Here is a 23,388-nt window from a genome sequence, read left to right as displayed (position 1 = left end):
AAGAATTGAAACTTCAGCTATCTCATTCTCATTATTTTTTGCATGCATTACAGAATGTGAAAGGATCTGCAAGGTCACTTCCTCCACCTAGTCCAATGGCCCTCAACTCTACCCCTTCCTTCCAGCCTCTAGTTTCAAGGGTTTGGTTGGGAAAAGGAAATAAACAGAAAGTTCACAGACTTTTCCATACTCACTTTAGCCACAAACCCCCACAGACCAGCTATGGTTTATTACATTCGACTTCTGGTTTTATTACAGAAAGAAATAACTCTTCTTAGGGAAATTCCAAACAGACCAATGGAAATGTGAGCACTTTACATTTATTGTCAAATGGGCTACTCAGCCTCACCATACTTTTTAAAAAATATCTGGCTCTCTTTTGAGTGTGCATGTCATGACCGGCCAGACTGTAGCTAACACACAAAAATATTGCCTTAAAAAAAGCAAAAGTACAAAACACACAATGACAACAATAACAACAAAACACGGTCTTCAGTCTTTTCAGAGAAAGGCTTAGTAAAGAGGCTGACAACATTGATATGTCTGAGATGTTCACGTTAAAGGAAACATAGTATAGCTATTGACTTTGAAATGTGTAGCTATTTGCTTAATTCAGAGATGGAATCTTTGCTAAAATGGGCAGTTAGGCTGATGAAAGAAATTGACTTGTACCACTTAATGAACAATTTCATCTTTTTAATATAGAAATAACTGTTGCTATGAACAGCCTTTTTATTCATTTGAGAACACCATAACCAAAAAATCTTTCAAATGATCATTACACAATGAATGTCCTGAGGCTTTAAAAAATATTTACTTTGAAATTATAAGCTCAAAATGATTCACCAATGCAAAAAAAGAAAAGCGGTAAAATGCTGGGCTGTAAGCTCTGTAAATTTTTTCCTGCTGAAAATAATTAGATAGGTTTTTTCTTCTTTTTTCTAGACAATAGTGCCTAAAGAGATTTAATGATCTTGTTGCTTATGGATATAGGGCATAAATATATTTCTTATCTTAAATTTGATGTTAGAGTTATAAGATTATAGAAAATGATATAATGTGATTAGGAGAAGTATAGTTTCAATAAATTTTACCAAATTAAGTATCACCTAAAATTCTCTAAAAATCAGCATTAGTTTTTGAATCTACGTTTTGGGTTGGTGGGAAAAAATATTTGCAATAGGCCACACTCACCAGGCTCCTCATCTACATATGGGGGAGATTAACGGGGTGACTACAGTCAACAATACTGTACATTGTAAGAGAACTAAAAGAGCATAATTGGAGAGTGTGTAACACAAATAAATGATGATAGAGATATTTACCATGTGCCGTCTATATATTTCTCAGCCTCCTTGCACTTGGGGGGGCTCTATGACTAGTTATGACCGATGGGCTATAAGCAGAAGTGCCAAAGCATTTAGGAAGTGATCCACAAGTCCCAAATTTTGTGCTTTCTTGCTGTGGTGACCTGGAAGCCAATTTTTGATATGGTGGCACCACAAGTGTGGAGGTGCCTGGGTCCTTGAGGCACTGCATGGAGGATGACTGCCCTGCAGAATTGTTTGTCCAGGATCATAATATGCATTAGCAAGAAATCAACTTTTAGATTTTTTAAGCCACTGAGATTTCAGCGTTAATATGTTGCTGTCGAATAGCCTAGGCTATTCTAAGTAATAATCTCATCATAGGGGATTTGAGAGGAGCTGATGGTGCCCAAAGTCCCCTTTGTATAGTACTTTGTAGTTTTCTATTGTTAAAAAAAAAAAAAAAGATTGCTTTCAAAGTCAGGCAAAATGTCCCCTTAATGATTCCCGAGGAGACTCCAAATGGCTAATTCTAGGAGAACCAGTCCAGCATGTGTTTCTTTTAATGACAGGTTTTCATGTATCCACCAGCCTTGACTAAGGAAGTTATTCACTTTGCAGAGTGGCAGCCTGCAGCCCTGTGGTGGGAAACAACCTTGAGCACCAGAGGTCACCCTTTAGGGAACATTAGTAGATTTGCAGCAAAAGGTCCTGGTCTATTGGTCATTGCCAGTACACTCCCTAAGGTGATCAGAGTTTCAGAGCCAGAGACCAAGGGTGAGGTTCCAGGGCGGATGACCTGCTGTCTTGGAGAGGTTATGTGTGTGCTGTTCCAACCAAAGTCCCATTTCACCAAAGCTGTTCTCAGAATCAATTATTTTTTTTTCCCCACGTGTAAAGAATTGTGTTTAATATCCTCCCTAGTGATGAACAGAAAAGCTGGCTGACTTCATCTCTGGGGAGCGAAAGATAATAAACCTGCCTTCCCTTTGAATTCACATGGGTTTGGTTCAAGTCCTGTGTGTGTGTTCTTGTCAGTCTTTCTTCCAATTGAGGGGCTCCCAAGAGAGTCTGACCCCAGCCATTAATAACTATGAGAAAAAGTAAAGCTTAGATTTCATAGGTTATTTTACAATTTGATACCACACTTAGCCCATAATTTAATATACTGCTATCGTTAACACATAGATAAAGCTTTCTAGAACCAAAGGGCCTTTGATGGAAGTAAATCAGTTGCTAGAACTACCAAGTTACATGCTTTTTCATTTTCTGCCTTCTAATTTGTGGTCAAACTTAGGAAAGTTTAGTGAACGAATGTATAATGGTGAAGAGTGTAAGTCCTGGACTCTGCATGACAATGATTCAAATCCAAGCTTCCCTGTCTGCTGTGTGATCCTGGAAAATTACTCAGCCTCTTTAAGTCTCCTCTCCCTAACTGTAAAGGGGCTAAAAGGAGATCGTTTCTCAGAGATAGGTTATTTAGAGATCACCTTTATAATATACTCAGACCTGTGCCTTGAATATGTGTGTTGGCAGCTGCTTTTATCATTATTGTTATGTTGGAAAGAAAGAATACAGAATGGGCTGTCCTGTGCCATTGCAGGGTGTTTACCAGCATCCCTGGCCTCTACGCATGAGATGCCAGCAGCACCCTTCCCTCAGCAGTGACAACCTAGAATGTCTCCAGGCATGGCCGACTGTCCCCAGGGGTGTAGACCTGGGTAATGCCATATGAATGTACTGGGTGGCCTGGATTTGGGTTTTTTTACATGTTTAGTTTTTTCATATGCACACACATAACACATCTGCCACTGGAAGCTACTGGGGACAGGCATTGCTGTATCAAAGATTGCAGGCAGTCAATTTTACCGAGGATTTTTGTAATGATCCCTGAGAGTTACTGAGTTCCCAGCAAGGCTTCAGCACCTGCTGGACATTTCTTACACAGATACAGGTATTAGTGGCTTTTTTGTTTTTTAAGAAAAACCAATTTCAAAAACAGGAAAGTGAAGACTCAGAGATGATATGCAGTTTTTTAAATTTTTTATTTTATTTTACTTTAAGTTCTGGGATACATGTGCAGAACATGCAGATTTGTTACATAAGTATACATGTGCCATGGTGGTTTGCTGCCCCTATCAACCTGTTATCTAGGTTTTAAGCCTCGCATGCATTAGGTATTTGTCCTAATGCTCTTCCTCCCCTTGCCCCCCACCCCCAACAGGCCCTGGTGTGTGATGCCCCCCTCCCTGTGTCCATGTGTTCTCATTGTTCAGCTCCCACTTATGAGTGAGAACGTGCGGTGTTTGGTTTTCTCTGTTAGTTTGCTGAGAATGATGGCTTACAGCTTCACCAATGTCCCTGCAAAGGACATGAACTCATATTTTTATGGCTATATAGTATTCCATGGTGTATATGTGCCACATTTTCTTTATCCAGTCTATCATTGATGGGCATTTGGGTTGGTTCTAAGTCTTTGCTATTGTAAATAGTGCTGCTATAAACATACATGTGCATGTGTCTTTATAGTAGAATGTTTATATAGTAGCATGATTTATAATCCTTTGGGTATATATACCCAGTAATGGGATTTCTGGGTCAAATGGTATTTCTGGTTCTAGATCCTTGAGGAATCATCTCACACCAGTTAGAATAGTGATTATTAAAAAGTCAGGAATCAATAGCTGCTAGTGAGGCTGTGGAGAAATAGGAACGCTTTTGCACTGTTGGTGGGAGTGTTCAACCATTGTGGATGATATGCAGTTTTATTGACATAAACCGGGACTTGCACCTGTGTCTGTCTGGTCCTATGAGCCTGCACTCATTTTAATGGTTTGGTTAAGCATTTAGATTCAGAGCTGGACTGCCCAGGTTCAACTCTTGGCAGATCATCTCTGTAACCTTACATAGGCTATTTAGCTTCCCTGCAAGCCTGTGAAGTAGCTAATATTATTAGCTTGACTTTACCTATAAGGAAATTGAGACATTGAGAAACTAAGTGAATTAGTGCTTATAAAATGCTTGGAACATTGCCTGGCATATAGTAAGTGCTATATAAGTGTTTGCTTTTTTAAACAATGCCTCTCCCTTCCTGCTTCTGTGAGTACCTGGTAGAGTCACAAAGGAAATGAAAGCTCTGATTTCTGGCTCCTTGGAGCGTCTCGTGCCCCTGGCAGGAGACTGGCCTATGAAGGTGGCCGTGAAGCTGGTGTTTGCTCCGCCCAACCCCTCCCACCCAGGACCACTCCTCAGCATCTGTGTTCTTCAGCAACTAATACCATACCTGTGTCTCTCCTCAGTGACCCACCTTTGGGCTTTGTTCACAGGTGCAGAAAGCTGGAAGTGATGCTCCAGGGAGTTTATGTCTCCCCATCTTGACCCACACCAATACCTGAGGCTCGTTGCTTTGATTCAAGTCCGGACAAGCTCTAAGGTTCAGCTCACACTGGGAGTCACGCTGCAGGTGCAAGCAAGAATGGGGCTTGAATCACACCCCTACTTGATTTCTCCGTCTCCCTCCTCCTTCCTACTTCTCCCAGGAGCACCATAGAAAATTCCTGGTACACTTATATTGCTTTTGGGGAGCCCAGTCTTACCCAGGCCCAGAGTCAGAGGGGACAGTGAGCAGGGGCCATGCCTCTACTCTGCGGTTCACACACACTTATGTGCTGGGGCTGCTCTCTAGACAAATGTTTGATAAATAGGACCTAACTTGAAGCCAAGAATGCTCTGGAATAGAGGGTGTGGATCTTGGTGCCTGGGGCCTCTAGAGGACGGAGGCCATTCTGGACCAGGTTGGCCAGGGATGGTGCCCAGGAGGTCGGGAGATTGGAGGGGCTGGGTCTGAAGGCTGTGTGGGTTTGGTACTAGGTGAAAGCCACTTGAATGATCTCCTTTCTACTGACTGCAGGAGCTCCTGGGAGTCTGTGAACGGTGGTGATGCAGAAAAGCAAAGCGTGTATATCTGTTTTAGTCCTCCCTCAGATCTGCTGAGGACACCTTGAGCCTGAAGTGAAATCACAGTGGCTCTCAGGAAGAAGGGTGACTGTCTGGTGTGCAGTTGTGCTGCCACGGCAAAGGGAACTTTAAAACATAGAACTGCCATGTAGAAGCTCAGGAAATATCCATGGTGAGGATCCAGGTTAACAAAAATACCTTCTACTGACCTGCTCTCAGACAGATCAAAGAAAAAGCTTCTTCCGGAAATGACCAAATCCATTTTCTTACAGGTCTGTCATCTCTTTTGGTCATAGAATCAAAAAAAATGGAAGACGAGAAAAGGCAGTGAAGACTGACAGCCTGTTGGTTGCTATTCCAGTCGTGTCTGCTCCATACGCGCCCTCCATCTCATCCCACCCAGTCAGTATATTTTCACCAGGCAGTGTTGCAGAAATGTCTGTGGACTCCAGTTCTATTGCAGTCAGGCAGCATTTACAGGTTTGACTTTCAACTGACCATGGCAGGAAGTCTAGAGGCAATTATAGCCAACACCTGCTCTATGTGCGTGCCGGGCAGGTGGTGGCTGATTCCTTGCCTCCAATCCATGATGTGTTTCCTATCAGCTCAGAATAATAACAGTGACACCTCTGCTTCTTCTCTGTCTGGGGGAGCTCAAGGCACTTTACTCTGAAAACCCTCAAATTACTGGCATTTCTTTTAGTGAAGATATCAAATTAATGACTGAAAAAAATGTAGAAGATGGTTATTGGTGATGTTAAAAGACAAGTTTAACCCACTTCCACACAACATGTCTTACAAGCGTAAAGTATTTGAGTAGAGAAAACTATGAATCTAAAATTGAACAAGATGTGAATTTAGACAGACAGCGTTTGTGGTCACAGATGTGCCGAGATGAAGACTGGAGGAAGGGCACAGTTTCTGTAGCAGTGACTTCCACCCAGGGTGTGTCTTGCTATTGTGTGAAATGATTTTTGACACTGGACAAATCTCTACTTCCACTTACAATGTTTTGCCAGCTAGCTGAGGCATTCTGGGAGGGTGAGGAGCCTGGGCTTGGGCTGACCTCAGGAAATCCTGTGTAAAGGGCTTTTGCACACTCAGAAGCAGGCCAGGTTCACCGCTGTTATGTGCAATATTCACTCCTGGCTCTTGCTTCTGAGCCTTGGCAAACCTGAGTCCTAAGAGGCCAATGAAAAGGAAAACACGTTAAGGAGCCAGGGCGCTTCTTGGATATCAGCCTGAATAGTTCTGTTTCATCTGGACCCCAATTTTACTCTCCTGCTGTTTTACACGGAACTAAAAAGAGCTTTACAGAGGACCAGATAGACTGCAGGTCCCTAGGCAGTCAGGGGCCAGGCAAGGCATAGGAGGGTGTCAGGCCTCTGAGCTCAAACTAGGCCATCATATCCCCTGTGACCTGCACGTACACATCCAGATGGCTGGTTCCTGCCTTAACTGATGGCATTGTCTTGTGAAATTCCTTCTCCTGGCTCATCCTGGCTCAAGAGCTCCCCTACTGAGCACGTTGTGACCCCCACTCCTGCCTGCCAGAGAACAACCCCCCTTTGACTGTAATTTTCCTTTACCTACCCAAATCCTATAAAATGGCCCCACCCCTATCTCCCTTCACTAACTCTCTTTTCGGACTCAGCCTGCCTGCACCCAGGTGAAATAAACAGCCTTGTTGCTCACACAAAGCCTGTTTGGTGGTCTCTTCACAGGGACTCGCATGAAATTTGGTGCTGTGGCTCGGATAGGGGGACCTCCCTCGGGAGATCAATCCCCTGTCCTCCTGCTCTTTGCTCCATGAGAAAGATCCACCTACGACCTCAGGTCCTCAGACCAAGCAGCCCAAGAAACATCTCACCAATTTCAAATCTGGAAAGCAGCCTCTTTTTACTCTCTTCTCCAACCTCCCTCAATATCCCTCAACCTCTTTCTCTTTTCAATCTTGGTGCCACACTTCAATCTCTCCCTTCTCTTAATTTCAATTCGTTTCATTTTCTGGTAGAGACAAAGGAGACACGTTTTATCTGTGGACCCAAAACTCCGGCGCCGGTCACGGCCTGGGAAGGCAGCCTTCCCTTGGTGTTAATCATTGCAGGGATGCCTCTCTGATTATTCACCCACGTTTCAGAGGTGTCGGACCACACAGGGACGCCTGCCTTGGTCCTTCACCCTTAGTGGCAAGTCCTGCTTTTCTGGGGGAGGGGCAAGAACCCCAACCCCTTCTCTCCATGTCTCTACCTCTTCTCTGCTTTTCTGGGGGAGGGGCAAGAACCCCTCAACCCCTTCTCCTTCACCCTTAATGGCAAGTCCCACTTTTCTGGGGGAGGGGCAAGAACCCCTCAACATCTTGTCCTTCACTGTTAGCAGCAAGTCTCACTTTTCTGGGGGAGGGGCAAGAACCCCTCAAACCCTTGTCCTTCACCGTCAGCAGCAAGTCCCGCTTTTCTGGGAGAGGGGCAAGAACCTCTCAACCCCTTCTCCTTCACCCTTAGAGGCAAGTCCCGCTTTTCTGGGGGAGAGGCAAGAACCCCTTATTTCCACAGCCCGACCTCTTATCTCTGTGCCCTGATCCCTTATTTCTGTGCCCTGACCTCTTATCTCTGCACCCCAACCCCTTATTTCTGCACCCCCACCTCTTTCCCACTTTTCTGGAGGGTAAGAACCCCCGAACCCCTTCCCTCCATGTCTCTACTCTCTCTTTTCTCTAGCCTTGCTTCCTTCACTATGGGCAACCTTCCACCCTCCATTCCTCCTTCTTCTCCCTTAGCCTGTGTTCTCAAGAACTTAAAACCTCTTCAACTCACACCTGACCTAAAACCTAAATGCCTTATTTTCTTCTGCAATGCCGCTTGATCCCAATACAAACTTGGCAGTAGTTCCGAATAGCCGGAAAACAGCACTTTCAATTTTTCCATCCTACAAGATCTAAATAATTCTTGTCGTAAAATAGGCAAACAGTCTGAGGTGCTGACGTCCAGGCATTCTTTTACACATTGGTCCCTCCCTAGTCTCTGTTCCCAATGCAACTCGTCCCAAATCTTCCTTCTTTCCCTCCCACCTGTCCCCTCAGTCCCAACCCCAAGTGTCGCTGAGTCTTTCTAATCTTCCTTTTCTACAGACCCATCTGACCTCTCCCCTCCTCTCCAGGCTGAGCTAGGTCCCAATTCCTCCTCAGCTTCCGCTCCTCCACCCTGTAATCCTTTTATCACCTCGCCTCCTCACACCCAGTCCGGCTTACAGTTTCGTTCCTTGACTAGCCCTCCCCCACCTGCCCAGCAATTTACTCTTAAAAAGGTGGATGGAGCTAAAAGCATAGTCAAGGTTAATGCTCCTTTTTCTTTATCCCAAATCAGACAGCGTTTAGGCTCTTTTTCATCAAATATAAAAATCCAGCCCAGTTCATGGCTCGTTTGGCAGCAACCCTGAAATGCTTTACAGCCCTAGACCCTAAAAGGTCAAAAGGCCATCTTATTCTCAATATACATTTTATTACCCAATCTGCTCCCGACATTAAATAAAACTTCAAAGATTAAATTCCAGCCCTCAAACCCCACAACAGGATTTAATTAACCTTGCCTTCAAGGTGTACAATAATAGAGTAGAGGCAGCCAAGTAGTAACATATTTCTGAGTTGCAATTCCTTGTCTCCACCATGAGACAAACCCCAGCCACATCTCCAGCACACAAGAATTTCCAAATGCCTAAACCGCAGTGGCCAGGCATTCCTCCAGCACCACCTCCCCCAGAAGCTTGCTACAAGTGCCAGAAATCTGGCCACCAGGCCAAGGAATGCCCGCAGCCCGGGATTCCTCCTAAGCCATGTCCCATCTGTGGGGGACCCCACTGGAAATCGGACTGTTCAACTCACCTGGCAGCCACTCCCAGAGCCCCTGGAACTCTGGCCCAAGGCTGTCTGACTGACTTCTTCCCAGATCTTCTCGGCTTAGTGGCTGAAGACTGACATGCCCGATCGCCTCAGAAGCCCGATAGACCATCATGGATGCCGAGCTTTAGGTAACTCTCACAGTGGAGGGTAAGTCCGTCCCCTTCTTAATCAATATGGAGGCTACCCACTCCACGTTACCTTCTTTTCAAGGGCCTGTTTCCATTGTCTCCGTAACTGTTGTGGGTATTGACAGCCAGGCTTCTAAACCTCTTAAACTCCCCAACTCTGGTGCCAACTTAGACAGTACTCTTTTAAGCACTCCTTTTTAGTTATCCCCACCTGCCCAGTTCCCTTATTAGGCCCAGACACTTTAAATTATCTGCTTCCCTGACTATTCCTAGGCTACAGCCACACCTCATTGCCACCCTTCTTCCCAATCCAAAGCCTCTTTTGCGTCTTCCTCTTGTATCCCCCCACCTTAACTCACAAGTATAGGATACCTCTACTCCCTCCTTGGTGACCGATCATGCACCCCTTACCATCTCATTAAAACCTAATCACCCTTATCTCCCTTCGCTGAAAGCCTATAAACTCTCCTTACAATTTCCCCATTTTACCTGTCCAAAAACCAGACAAGCCTTACAAGTTAGTTCAGGATCTGCGCCTTGTCAACCAAGTTGTTTTGCCTATCCACTCTTTGGTGCCAAACCCATATACTCCCGTATCCTCAATACCTCCCTCTACAATCCATTATTCTGTTCTGGATCTCAAACATGCTTTCTTTACTATTCCTTTGCACCCTTCATACCCAGCCTCTCTTCGCTTTCACTTGGACTGACCCTGACACCCATTAGGCTCAGCAAATTACCTAGGCTGTACTGCTGCAAGACTTCACAGACAGCCCCCATTACTTCAGTCAAGCCCAAATTTCATCCTCATCTGTTACCTATCTTGGCATAGTTCCCATAAAAACACATGACATGGTCTCCCTGCTGATCATGTCATCCCTACTATCTTCTGTCTAGTCAAACTCCTATTCACCATTCTCAACTACTCATACATGCCCTGCTCTTGTTTACACTGCCGGTTTACACTGTTTCTCCAAGCCATCACAGCTGATATTTCCTGGTGCTATCCCCAAACTGCCACTCTTAACTCTTGAAGTAAATAAATAATCTTTGCTGGTAGGACTATGCTGAATCTCCTTAGGCAGTCTCTAATTAGATGTCCTGGGTCCTCCCAATTCTTAGACCTTTAATACCTGTTTTTCTCCTTCTCTTATTCCGTTTAGTTTTTCAATTCATACAAAACTGTATCCAGGCCATCACCAATCATTCTAAATGACAAATGTTTCTTCTAACAGTCCCACAATATCACCCCTTACCACAAAATCTTCCTTCAACTTAATCTCTCCCACTCTAGGTTCCCACGCCGCCCCTAATCCCACTCAAAGCAGCCCTGAGAAACATCGCCCATTATCTCTCCATACCATCCCCAAAAATTTTCGCCACTCCAACACTTTACCACTATTTCATTTTATTTTTCTTATTAATATAAGAAGACACGACTTGACAGAGGGGAGAAGCGGCACACAGAGGCTCATGTCTGGGAGGGTAACGCATGTTTCTGAGGCTGGCTCAGCTGCGCAGTGGTGCTGTTAAGAGCCAGGGCTGGGAGGCACCATTGTGGTTTCCCATTGGCCAGGAATCACATGACTCTTGGACCCGGAATTTATGTTCCACGTGTCCCTGACTCTCAAAGTAAAAGTCAGGCTAAAAGTCTTTAAAAATAAAGGAGAAACTTGGTTTGCAAATCCACTCTCTGATTCAGGCATTTCAAAGGAATTCCTGCCCAGACATTTCAATACTCAAAGCACGGCAGGGAAAGTGAGAGATGCCATGTTCCTCCTTGGCCTCTTTTCTGGCTTTCATGGATTTCCAAGGGGCCACCCTGAGCAATGCCATCTAGGTCAAGTTTAAAGATGGGCTAGTTCTGAGGAGACGTGCTGTGTTTCCTTTCTTTGTAGGAAGGCTTGGCTTCTTACTCTGTGACAAAACACGGGGCACCAGGAGCCCTGAGCCTGCATTTTTTCCTGTGGCCTTTGCTTTTCTCTGGAGATGCACCTCTCACTGCACTCACTGTGGGCACTGAACTGTGAGTTCAGCTCAGTCCCTGAGACTGTTTTCCTTGCTAGCAAGAAACATCTTCACATTTCCTTAGAACCCTTCTGTGTCCTGGGGTCTCATTTTCCATTTTTCCAGCCTCAGTTCTCCTACTTGTGATGGCTGGCAAACGCTGATGCCTATGGGGCCAGCAGGTTCGTAACTGAGGATAGTGAAGGGTAGCAGGGAGTGGTGGGAACTGGGCCACCTGGTGAGTGCACACACTGCCTAAATGGGATCAGTCTGTTTCAATGCTGCCATTCAGGACTGTAGGCCAGTCTTGCAAGAAATCTACAGTTTTATGCAAAATCATTCAATTACCCATGAAATGAATTCAAGACCACCTATAATGAATTCCAGTGGCTCACACCTGTAATCCCAGGAGTTCAAGACCAGCCTGGGCAACATAGGAAGACCCAGGGTGGTCTTGAGCTCCTGACGGGAAGCAATCCTCCCTCCTCAGCTTTCCAAAGGGCTTTTGTTGGTAATAAAACCATATATATATAGATATATTAGCTGGGTGTGGTGCAGTGCCCCTGTGGTCCCGGCTACTTGGCAGGCTGAGGTGGGATTATGGCTTGAGCCAGGGAGGTTGAGGTTGCAGTGAGCTGTAATTGCACCATTGCACTACAGACTGGGCAACTGAGTGAGACCCCATCTTTAGGGAAAATATTTAACATCATGACAAAGGCACAGTTAGCCAAAGTACACATTTGTCAGATGCTCAGTTTTTAATTTCTGCTTTGCAAATTGGAGCAATTGGAGGGTGTTTTAAAAAGGCAGGACATGATCCAAATGGCCATGGACAAGATGAGCTATCAGTAGGGGGACTGGCTATGAAGCAGCCTCTGCATCATTCCAGGGACGAGATGGTGAGGGCCAGAAAATAATGACAAAGAAGACCTGGATTTTAGAAATATTTCTGAAATAGATTTCTTAGTCCTGTCAAAGATGAACAAAGATGAACGCTAAAGTGGTAAGGACAGATTTTAATCAGTAACAACTATTGCAGCTGGGAAAAGAGCCCAGCAGAAATTGAACTTAACTTTGATTTGTGGAGGTCACTGGGCATTTTAAAGTGAGAATGGGCCAGGCTCAGTGCCTCACACCTGTAATCACAGCACTTTGGGAGTGAAGTGGGAGGATTGCTTGAAGCCAGGAGGTAAAGACCAGCCTGGGCAACAGAACAAGACCTTGTTTCAACAAAAAATTTTAAAAAATAGCTGTGTGTGGTGGCACCCACCTGCAGTCCCAGTTACTTGGGAGGCTGAGGTGGGTGTATTGCCTGATCCCAGGAATTCAAGGCTATAGTGAGTTATGACTGCACCATTGCACTCCAACCTGAGCAACAGAGCAAGACTCTGTCTGAGAAAAGGATAACATGAGAGAATGATGGGTTAGGGAGGGAAGGAGCAGGGGCTTGGCAGAGTTAGGGAAGTGAAACACTACAAAAGCAGGAAGTGGGGTGGTCCATGTGAAACCCACCTGGGTTTACTAATGTGTTCCTGTTGAAGTTAGACTCCCACCCCCACAGAGGCTGGGAGGCAGAGACCCTGTCTTCAGGTGTTGGCTGAAAGAAATGGTAACTTATTTTAGCAGCCTTGAGCTTTCTCATGCGGGCACATGAAGAGGACTAGTGTCATCTTAGGGAATGCGGCCTCGCACCATTGGAAACAATGTGAGTGTTTGTTCAAGTCTCTATAGGTCAAGGCTGAAGCCCACCTGGAAAGGTCTCAGAGGAACCTGGAGGAAGTGTGGCCATGGCGGGGTGGAGGGGGAGGATCCTGACAGTCCTTAGAAAACTACTGAGTTTTTTGGTGGGAAAGAGCAACAGGTTGGGAACGACCCTGATGTGCGGTCCTGTCCTGACCGTTGGCTCATGCTTTCTCCCAGGGCCCTGACCCTTGCCTGTGGTCAGGCCTGCTGCCCCCTCCCTCACGCTGGTTCCCATAGCCTTCCTGGTTCCTATCATGCATTGCTGCTGTCACTCTGGAAGCAGCCACCAGCTCATGCACTTCTTTTAAAGGGAAGAAAATGGCTCTCTGCAACCGAGAGCAAGTAGTTTCAGGATGATGGATCTGTGATACTATGGAAAGCAAATCTGTTATCTTCCATGGTGCACAAAACATGCTGTCACAGTGATGACTCATAATAACCCTTCAGTTTCCTAAATTGCTTTACTGCTGCTTTTTTAATTAAGACCCATTAACTTGTCATATATTGATAAAGGCATGACCCTGAAATAGGTGGATAAATTAGGACTCCCATTCATTCTGTGCTTTTATATGAACGTGTTAATTATTTTTGTCATTAGGAAGAGTGATGGAAGGATGGAGAAGCACAAAACACATTTTGACAATGTGCTGGTGTTTGCAGCTGGAAACTTGGCGCATGTCAGATCCCATCCTTCACCCTTTCACAGTTAGCACCAAGCGGCCAACCTAGAATTTCTTGTGCTAATAGTTCCCATCACAGAGGCTACTAGATGGCACAGAGGACCTACTATTTTGTTTTAGCAGTTGCATACTGGTATTTATAGGAAAACAGATCTGGTGTTCAAATGGAGCTTTGTTTAAATGCATAGTTGGCTCACACACTAATTTTCTACATAAAATAATTATTGGGCTAGGTGCAATGGCAATGTAGCCAGGGGTCTGAGCCTTCACGTGATGATGAATGCAAGTGTAGACAATGTCATACTGGAGCCCGGCTGGAAGCACCCTTTTCTTCACCAGCTGGCACCCAGGGTCCCTCCCCATGTGATGCCCTCCAGGAACCCTGGGGAGGGCAGTGTCCACACATTTAATCATGACTGCCCTGGGGTCCCCTCTCACGGCCTCCCTCTCTCGTCTGTCTTTGGTGTGTGGTGGTGAGGGCCGGGATTTCTCTCTGGTTTTAAGCGCCTCGTGAGGGATGTGGACATTCGGTGCCCTGAGGCTCAGAGGATGGGGAGGCAGGGTCCTGCCTGTCCCAGTGAGGAGGGCATGGCCTGGAGGCTTTCCCAGAAGTGGGGGTCCTGAAGAGAAGGAGCCATGTGACCCTCCTCAAAACCCAACACCAAGTAGAACTCCACACTAGGCAGATTTGTCTGTAACTGTTTTATTTGTGGCATGAATTAGTTCTGTTTGGAAGTTGAGGACCTTGATGTATAAAATCTCCCAGCTCTGCTGTGAAGGCCTTTGTGGATTTCCTGAGTCCTGCATGTGTCTGAGAGAGGGAGGGAGAGGGGACGCCTGTTTCTGCCCTGGAGAACGTGGCTGTGGGTGTACGTGTGTCTGTGTCTCTGAGCAAGGGTGGCTGCTCTATGAACCCACGCTGAGTGTGTGTGACTGTGCTGCATGTGTGAGTCTGTGTGAGGGTGTGTGGCTCTGCATGTTGGAGAATGGGTGTGTCCGTGTGTGTGGGAATGTTTGTGGTGCTGTGCGAGTGTCTCCAGGTGGGAGTATGAGGATGGGTGTCCTTGTTTGCTGGAGAGCACTGGTGGAGGGTGTGTGTTTAAACTCCAGCTGGAATCACAGCCCCTGCTGCCAGGCAGTGTCCCGGAGCTGCCCAGCCTGTGGGACAGATGCCGAGAGCTGATGAGTAGTGCATAAACCAACAGTAGCTGAGTTCCGGCCTCCACGAGGCTTGGGGATGGGATGGAAAACTGAGCCTTCGGCTCAGAGGATACCAGGATTTTAGTGCTTTTTTAGGAATATAAAGGCATGGAGGACAGGGAACTCAGAGAAGGGTAATCCCTTAGGGTCCCCTCACGTCCACTGTGGGACTCTATAGCCTCAGCTTCACCATCCCCAAATCTCCAGTCCTTCTATTGCTTAGGGGCCTCCTTGATTTGTTCATTAGATCTCCAGGCACCTGGTGAGAGGCTCTTGGCCCTGGGGTGTCAATTCTGGCTCAAAGTCAAACTCAGCCCTACAGTTCCCATCCCCTTTCAGGCTCTGGTGCTCTGACTCACTGATGACAGCAGGCGGGAAGCATCTTTGAGCCTGCCCTCCTCCCCTCTTACCCTCCCCACCTCCTTCCTTCCCCAACTCCTCCCCTCGCACCCTCCCCCCTCCCCCCTGCCCCTTTCCACTCTCCTCCCCTCCTCCCCTTCTACCCTCCACCCCTCCCACCCTCCTGTCCTTAGGCCCCTCAGCTGGACTGGAGGTGGGGCCTTGCGAGGCTCTTCAGTGTCTTCCCTACACTGCCTCCTCACTGGAGGCGAGAAGCTCTGCTTGACTGCCTCCCACACTGGCCCCATTCCTTGCTTCCCTTTTGGTCAATCACTGTGGTGGTGGGGGGTGGGGGGTGAGGGGTGTGAGTGTAGAGGAGGGCCTGGGAGGGGGATTTAGGAGTTTGTCAGAGGTGGAAAGATAACCTCATGGTATTAGCTTGCTAGGGCTGTAATAACAAAGTGTCACAAACTAAACGGCTTCAACATGAGAAATCTATCATCTTGTGTCCTGAAAACCAGAAGTCAAAAATCAAGGTGTTGGGAGGGCCGTGGCCAATCTGAACTCTGCAGGGAACGCTTCCTGGCCTCCTCCTGGCTTCTTCCAGTTTGCAGGGAATCTGTGCTGTTCCTTGGCTGGCAGCTGCAGGGCTCCAGTTTCTGCCGTCTTTATCTCATGGCTGTCCTTCCTGTGCCTCCAACTTCACGTGGCCATCTTCTTTTTGCTTGTTTGTTTTTGAGACAGAGTCTTGCTCTGTTGCCTAGGCTAGGGTGCAGTGGCACGATCTCAGCTCACTGCAACTTCTGCCTCCTCTCAAGTGATTCTCCCACCTCAGCCTCCCTGGTCACTGGACCTACAGGTGCATGCCACTATGCCCAGCTAATGTTTGTATTTTTGGTAGGGACAGGGTCTCACCATATTGCCTAGGCTAGTCTTGAACTCCTGAGCTTAAGCAATCTGCCTGCCTCGGCTTCCCTAAGTGCTGGGATTACAGACATGAGCCCCCATGCCCGGCACAAGGTCATCTTCTTATAAGAACCCCAGTCATTTTGGATTAGGGCCCACCTTATTCTAGTCTGACCTCATCCTAACTAGTTACATCTGCAATGACCCTGTTCCCAACCAAAGGTGCACTCTGTGGCCCTAGGAGCTGAAATCTCTACCGCAGGCAGATGTCCTTATACTGTGCTTTGCTGTATTGGGTTTCACAGGTACTGTGTTTTTTACAAGTTATGGCAACCCCACATTGAGCAAGTCTTATCGGTGCCATTTCTCCAAAAGCATATGCTTACTTTCTTCCTCTGTGTCAGAATTTTAGCAGTATTTTTTTTGTTAAGGTAAGTACACTTTTTAGACCTAATGGCATTGCACATTTAATAGACTACGGTATAGTGTAAACATGACTTTTCTATGAACTGGGAAACCAAAAAGTTTGCGTGACTCACTCTATTTTGATGGTCTGGAACTAAACTCGCAATATCACTGAGGTATGCACATATCTTTTGGGGAGGACACAATTCAGCCTGTAATCATCTCACAGTCATCCCGTTATTTACCCAGGATCCATGTTTTCAGATAAATCTCCAACCCCTCTCGCGTTTCCAGTTCTTTCTCTCACCCTGTTTATTACCACAATTAATCACCAGCAGCACAACCTCACCTTCGCCGACCTCTCCACAGGAAAGAAAATAAAATATTGAGGAGCAGCAAAGGAGTGAGACTGTGTATTCATGGCAGCAGTCCAAGTCTGCTCGGATTATCTGCACCCCCAAGAGGCAGTGTAAGAGCTGATTTTAAGGAGGTGATGAGAAAACAACAACAACAAAACAACTAAAAGTCACTCGAGATTTTGAAAAGAGCTATTCTGCCCTTTTATGCCAGGGAAAGCTCAGATTCCAAACTTTTATTTCCCTTTCTGGAGCTGAGCTGTCTAATTTTTAAAGGTGCTGCTAATCAGCTTTCTTACATTTCATTTCCTGTCATCCCCACTAGATTAATGGTTCCTGCTTCTGACGCTGGAAGCCACAATGTGCTCCTTTAAATTCTTAGTGATGAAGTATTTGCATTTCTTTCTTTTTCTGAGGAAGCTTAGGTGCGCATATAAAATATAGAATTTCAGTCTCCCAGTATTGGCACTACGGTACGTGTGTGTGTGAGTGTTGTGTTAGGATGTGTGTGTAGACCACCATCAGAGATCCCACCTGAGAGGGCCTCAGAGACCAAGAATTCAGGGCATCCCCATCTGCAAATCAGAATCTGCATTTTAACAAGATCCCCAGTGACTCACGTGTGTGTACAGCTTAACAAGCTCCACTCTAAGCAACTTAAAATCCTTAAAAGAGAAGTCTTAAAGTATCTCTGAGTAAAAGAGGGGTAAAATTTGCAACTCAGGAAGTTGTCTATAATGTGCTATTTCAACAAATGATTTCTATTTATTCTTTCTGTAAAAGAAAAAATATGCGTGGGGTCTGTAGTCAGACAGCCTGGCCACACCATTCAGTAGCTGTGCAGCTTTGGGGAAAGGGCTCAGTGTCTGTGAGCTTCAGTTTTTCATGTGTAAAACAGGTACAGTAATAGCTCCCATCACTGGGTTATTGAGAATTAAAAAAAAAATGCATGTAAAATGGCTGAGCAGAGTGCCTGGCAAAGACTAAGCACTCAGTCAATGTTAGCTATTAAGCCTGTCTTGCAATTATTTTTCTCATGGGATTCTTTTCCTCAAGCCTGGTGTGTGTGTGTGTGTGTGTGCGTGTGCATGTGTGTATGTGTGTGTGTGAATGAATGTTACTCTCAGCTTGCTCTATCTTCCTTGGTCTCCAGATCTAAAAGCTGGGCGCTAACTTTCCAAAGTCACTAAGGAATCTGGGCCACCCAGGGTTGGTCTTTGTCTTCCAAAGGTTGAGTCTGGAATTGCAGGAAGTCATCTGTTTCCATGGAGAGGAAGAGGTGTTGCTGGCAGCCGGAAGACGTAGGTTCTAGTCTTGCAGGATCCCAGACGCTAGGTTCCAGTACTCAAGTACTCAATGCGCAGTTAGCCAAACACTGACACACCAGTGCTTAGGAGGAGAGAAAGGTTTATTTGATTCAACCAAAGTGTGAGATTGGGAGAGGCAAACTCCAATCTGACTTGTCTTTGAACACAACTGGGGCTTTGATGTGTAAGGGAGGTATGCAGGAGGTGAGATTCCTGGTGACCGAAGCTGTTCGTGTCCCTCAGTCAATCAAACTTCCAGATACCATTAAGGAGGTCTGCATGACCTAAGGATCATTGTTCTTCTAAAGAAAATCAAAGATTACTCTTGCGACCAGCACCCAGGAGTCCAGCTATGCAGTTAATCAATTATGAGTGACTGCCCTCTATTAAAATGAGTACGTGCAAGTAATCTGTGGAGGGAGAAAAGGACAAAGAGTAAGGAAGATAAGTAAAATAAACAATTTTTATGATACAGATCTGCTCCTAGTCTTAGCACCACCATTCTGGTCTTAGCCTCAGAAAAAAAGAGAAAACTTCTCTTGACCCTAGTTGCTTCTGCCCAGTTCCTGGGATTCACTGTGATGGGATAGCCTGGGTCACATGCCCTCCCCTTCAGTATGCAGATGGCCAGGCTCCTTTTTGGAATGTGGGCTGGATCCCTTCTAAAGAGCATGGTGGAGGGAAGTAGAGAGACAGCTACTAAGAAATTCCTCCCTTCAGGGAGAAACGCGAATGGATGCGAGGTGGTGCAAAATCCACAAAGGAGCTCCAGGGGACGTGGCAGGATCCCTCTGCTATGACTGTGCTGCATAAGAGTCTGAGCCCACGCCAACCTAGAGTGTGAGTGCCCCATCCTACCACGTGTAGTGTGCTTTCTTTTCTTTCCTTTTTATCTCTCTCTCTTTCTCTTTCTTTCTGTCTCTCTCTTTTTCTATCTTTCCCTCTCTCTCTCTCTTTGGTGCTCTCTCTCTTTCTTTCAACAGGGTCTTATTCTGTTGCCAAGGCTGAAGTGCAGTGCTGCAGTTATAACTCACTGCAGCCTTGAACTCCCAGGCTCAAATAATTCTCTTGTTTCAGCCTTCTGAGTAGCTAGGACTACAGGTGCATGCCACCTGTAGCATGCCTGGCTAATATTTTTAATTTTTTGTAGAGATGGGGGTCTTGCAACATGGCCCAGGTTGGTCTCAAACTCCTGGCCTCAAGCTATCCTCCTGCCTCAGACTCCCAAAGTGCTAGTATTAAAGGCAAAAGCCACCATGCCTAGCTAGCTTGTTTTCTTTTGAATGGCCTGGGAACCTGGTTCTCTGTATTTGAGCCACAATTGAGGCAGGAGAATAGGGGCTGTAGACAGGGAACCTAAGGCCGATTTATGCTGACTTTTTAGAACTAAATCAAATGATTCTGAAACAGAAAAGGGGACATTAGGTTAAAAACTAAGGAAATTGGAAAAAAATGTAGACTTCAGTTAATAATAATATATCAATATAGGTTTACTAATTGTAACAAATGTGCCATTTTAACATAAGATATTAACAGTGTGAGATACTGGGTGTGGAGTATGTGGGAACTCTTCACTAGTTCTGTAATTTTCTGTAAATCTAAAATTGATCTAAAAAAAGCTTATTAAAAAGCAAAAAATATATGTATCAAAAGGAAAACCCCAACTTTCCACACCTAAGTAACAAAAGAACCAGAGGTTACTCCCTTTTCACCTCCCCTCCTCCCCCGTCACCACGCGGACTTACTTTCTTCATGGCAGATGGAAAATTAAAAGTACCTTTGACTGGTTGCTTTCCACAACCAACCAGACGTTTGCATAGAGTCTAATCTTTGTAACTTCACTTCAGCTTCTTGGTTGCTTTCCACAACCAATCAGATGTTTACATAGAACGTGACCTTTGTAACTTCACTTCAGCCTCTGATTGGTTGTTTTCCACAACCAATCACACTAATGACAGACTACTACTTTATTTGCATGGGGTGTACACCAAGTGGACAAAGAAAAACCTCTAGAGGGTATTTGGACCCCAGAAGATCCTGTAACCAAGGCCACTGAGCCGCTGCTTAGACCCGCTCCCACCCTGTGGAGTGTGCTTTCATTTTCAATAGATCTCTGCTTTTGTTGCCTCATTATTTCCTCGCTTTGCTGTGCGTTTTGTCCAATTCTTTGTTCAAAATGCCAAGAACCTGGCAGTCAAGACCCTCCACCGGTATCTCAGTGAGGAGGCATCCTCTGTATGACATGTGACAACCAGAGGTGATTCCCTTATCAATCCAGGGTAGGAGGTGGGGGGACATGTTGATCCCCATTCCTGTTTCACAGGAGCCCCCATAAGGTGGCTGGAGAACCCTGATGTCTTCCTCAGTCCTCCTGCCTGATTCATCTGCCCCAGGTCAAACACAGAAACTTCTGTCCTGGTGACAGAAGAACTTTATAGAAACTTCATGGAAAAGGTTGGGCTGAACTCAGAATAAAGATGTGGCTGGAGGGACAGGAGCTATAACTGCTCCGTAGACCCCACGCCCACCGTGGGCCTCTCTGTCACATGGTGGGGCCCCTGCCGCAGCAGTGATCACCCCAGCCCTGAAAATGCTGCTTTTGGAGGAAGGTTTCCGTTGAGATCAGCGTCAGGAGTGGAAAGCTTCCGAGGTAGCTGGGGGCTGCTGGCGGAATTTCACCCACAGAAGAGTGTCATTTGGCGGCACAAACTGAGAGAGAGCTCAAGTGCCCTTTGGTGGGGCTGCATCCTCCATGGAAGGCATTCAGTGTTGCAGACCTTTATGTTCCCCGCTTCCTGCATTTATAGACAAGGAAATGAAGGTCCACAGAGGGTCAGGTCACACAGGCAGCTGGGGAGAGTGTGGGAATGGGACCGGGTCCTCAGGCTCTGAGTCCAGTCCTCTTTCCTCCACCTCCAGGCTGCGAGGTTGTGCTCACACGGCTGCCACATCACAGCCCCTGTAGCGATGCCTACAGCTCAGTAGAGAGGGTGTAGTGACAACAGGTGCAAAGGAAATGACACAGTGGGATTGTAAGGGCCTTGGGTAAGAGGGACGAGGCTGTGGCTGGCACCGGGAGCCTGAAACCCCTCTCCACTTGGCCACTTGCACAAGACTGGTCCAGCCACAGCCTCAGGCTCTGTCCTCACAACTGCCATGATTTAATCTGTGGCCTTTGTGGCTTACAGGGTGCATTACGGAGCACTGAGTAATTTATGTGTTCATGAAACATGGGTTCTGCTCATCCCTGGAGGGCTCCAAAGGTGGCAGGAAGATGGATGACTGGCTTAGAGACCCACAAAGCTCTGCAGAATCTCACCTCTGCTCTTGTGAGCTATTCTCAGAAACTAGCAGGGACTCAGCAGCTGCTCCACCTGGAATCCATGCTGCCCCAGCCTGGGCTGATTCGGGTGCAGCAACACAGGGATCAGAGGATATGGGGCCCTTGAGTGCAGAAAGAGGCCTCAGGTTATTTAGAGAAGCAGTTCAGGCAGTCAGGGCCCTGAGCAAAACCATCCCGGCCTCCCGGTGCTGCCCACCTCTCCCTCTTGGCTGCCAGAAGGAGACAAGGTGAGTGAAACTGCCCACCCCCCCTCATTTTACTTCATCAGTTTCCCCTTTGGGTATCATTACTGCATCAATCTCAGTCAGTCAGACAAAGCCACCACCTCGTGGAGATCCTAGTCTGTCTTGTTCACTTCTTATCTGACTCCTATATGTCACCACTGCCTGCTGGCTGGGCGTGGCGGCTCACACCTGTAATCACAGCACTTTTGGAGGCTGAGGTGAGAGGATTACTTGAGGACAGGAGGTCAAGACCAGCCTGGGCAACATAGCCAAACCTCATATCTTTTTTTTTAATTTTTTTTTTATAAGTTTAAACTAGCCAGGCATGATTGTACACACCTGTAATTCCAGCTACTCGGGAGGCTAAGGCAGGAGGATCGCTTGAGCACAGGAGGTTGAGGCTGCATTGAGCTATGATTGCACTATTGCACCCTAGCCTGGGCAACAGAGTGATACCCTGTCTCTAAAAAAATTAAAATATAAAAAATATAAAACTATCTGGCATTCAGTAGATGCTTATGTTACACCCACGCTCCAGAGAAGAAACATTTTTTTTCAGAGGGTAGATTCTGACTGAGCCTAGGACTGTGGGTCAGGTGTTCTCACGGTATGCATGCTTCATAAAATGATTTCCTTCCAGGATTCTAAAGACCATTTCCACATGGAGAAGCTGCCAGAACAAGCACTGCTACCCTTGGAGGCCATTGACATTGTGAGGTCGCTGGGACTGAAAGGAGGTTGACCAGAAGTTCTGTTTGGCAATGCAAAGCCAGGAGGAAAAGTTAATGGAGTTTGTCCCCCGGGTCCCAAGAAAGCTGACCCAGGACGATGAAGCTAGAATTTGTGTTCTAGGAGGTGCTGCTTCTTCCAGGAAAGTCTACTCAAAGCACACACTGTGAGCTGCTGCATGTCTCTTGAGCTAGTTCACTGCAGTTTTCATGATGAAAGTGATCTGTTTCAGTAAACTTTCTGTTATTTGAGAGCATGGGAAAAATATTTGCTGTGATTTCCCAATTCCCCATTTTTTCTGATTCTTTGTTGCAGTTTCCACAACTTTGTTATCAGGCTGTGACAGAGGTTTGTGAACTGATGAAAGCTCCAGAGCCTCCCAGGCCCTCTGAGTCTGATGCCTGCACTCCACAATCAGGCCTCAAGCTCAGGGCGCCTGCCACCAACCCACGCTGGGCTTCAGGGGCAGGCAGCACTTGAATGGGGTTTGGTTATTGTCTTTCTTTATTTTCTCTTATTTTAAGCCTTAAAAAAAAAAAGATAAGGTCTTGCTCTATTGCCCAGGCTGGAGAGAAATGGTGTGATCATAGCTCACTGCAGCTTTGAATTCCTGGGTTCAACCGATCCTCCCACCTAAGCCTCCCGAGTAACCAGGACTGCAAGTATGCACCACCACACCCAGTTAATTAAATTTGTGTGTGTGTGTGTGTGTAGAGGTGGGTTCTTGCTTTGTTGCCCAGGCTGGTCTTGAACTCTTGAGTTCAGACAATCCTGCCACCTCAACCTCACAAAGTGCTGGAATTACAGGCGTGAGCCACTGCACTCAGCCTCCTTAAGCCATTTGCTTAAGTGGCTTTAT

The 23,388-nt window shown here is 46.4% G+C and overlaps 1 pseudogene across 1 annotated transcript in view, besides 5 other annotated features; it reads left to right on the top strand.

The window, feature by feature from the left end:
- The window catches only part of LOC100420587 (SHC binding and spindle associated 1 pseudogene), a 292,307-nt pseudogene extending 285,343 nt beyond the window's left edge, over positions 1-6,964 (top strand). Inside the window, exons 8-10 of the transcript NR_110759.1 lie at positions 4,634-4,867; positions 5,218-5,436; positions 5,537-6,964. The product of NR_110759.1 is annotated as an SHC binding and spindle associated 1 pseudogene (transcript). The remainder of the gene's footprint in view (positions 1-4,633; positions 4,868-5,217; positions 5,437-5,536) is intronic.
- Positions 14,496-14,790: a silencer, noted in NCBI's record as "tiled region #924; K562 Repressive non-DNase unmatched - State 14:Gen5'". NCBI's record gives its function as "represses a minimal TATA promoter and a strong SV40 promoter by Sharpr-MPRA in K562 cells {active_cell/tissue: K562}" and the evidence as "EXISTENCE:reporter gene assay evidence [ECO:0000049][PMID:27701403]".
- Positions 15,500-16,018: an enhancer, noted in NCBI's record as "H3K27ac-H3K4me1 hESC enhancer chr19:28917241-28917759 (GRCh37/hg19 assembly coordinates)". NCBI's record gives its function as "activates a minimal SCP1, AML or CMV promoter by ChIP-STARR-seq in primed H9 embryonic stem cells {active_cell/tissue: H9 hESC(primed)}" and the evidence as "EXISTENCE:reporter gene assay evidence [ECO:0000049][PMID:30033119]".
- Positions 16,019-16,538: an enhancer, noted in NCBI's record as "H3K27ac-H3K4me1 hESC enhancer chr19:28916721-28917240 (GRCh37/hg19 assembly coordinates)". NCBI's record gives its function as "activates a minimal SCP1, AML or CMV promoter by ChIP-STARR-seq in primed H9 embryonic stem cells {active_cell/tissue: H9 hESC(primed)}" and the evidence as "EXISTENCE:reporter gene assay evidence [ECO:0000049][PMID:30033119]".
- Positions 18,746-19,431: an enhancer, noted in NCBI's record as "H3K27ac hESC enhancer chr19:28913828-28914513 (GRCh37/hg19 assembly coordinates)". NCBI's record gives its function as "activates a minimal SCP1, AML or CMV promoter by ChIP-STARR-seq in naive H9 embryonic stem cells {active_cell/tissue: H9 hESC(naive)}" and the evidence as "EXISTENCE:reporter gene assay evidence [ECO:0000049][PMID:30033119]".
- Positions 22,444-22,644: a silencer, noted in NCBI's record as "peak3422 fragment used in MPRA reporter construct". NCBI's record gives its function as "represses an SCP1 promoter by STARR-seq MPRAs in K562 erythroleukemia cells {active_cell/tissue: K562}" and the evidence as "EXISTENCE:reporter gene assay evidence [ECO:0000049][PMID:32103011]".

This window comes from Homo sapiens, chromosome 19 (assembly GCF_000001405.40).
Source record: "Homo sapiens chromosome 19, GRCh38.p14 Primary Assembly".
In the NCBI taxonomy this organism is placed as follows: domain Eukaryota; kingdom Metazoa; phylum Chordata; class Mammalia; order Primates; family Hominidae; genus Homo; species Homo sapiens.
Note: the sequence above shows the minus strand (reverse complement) of the source record. Positions and strands in the feature narration are given on the sequence as shown.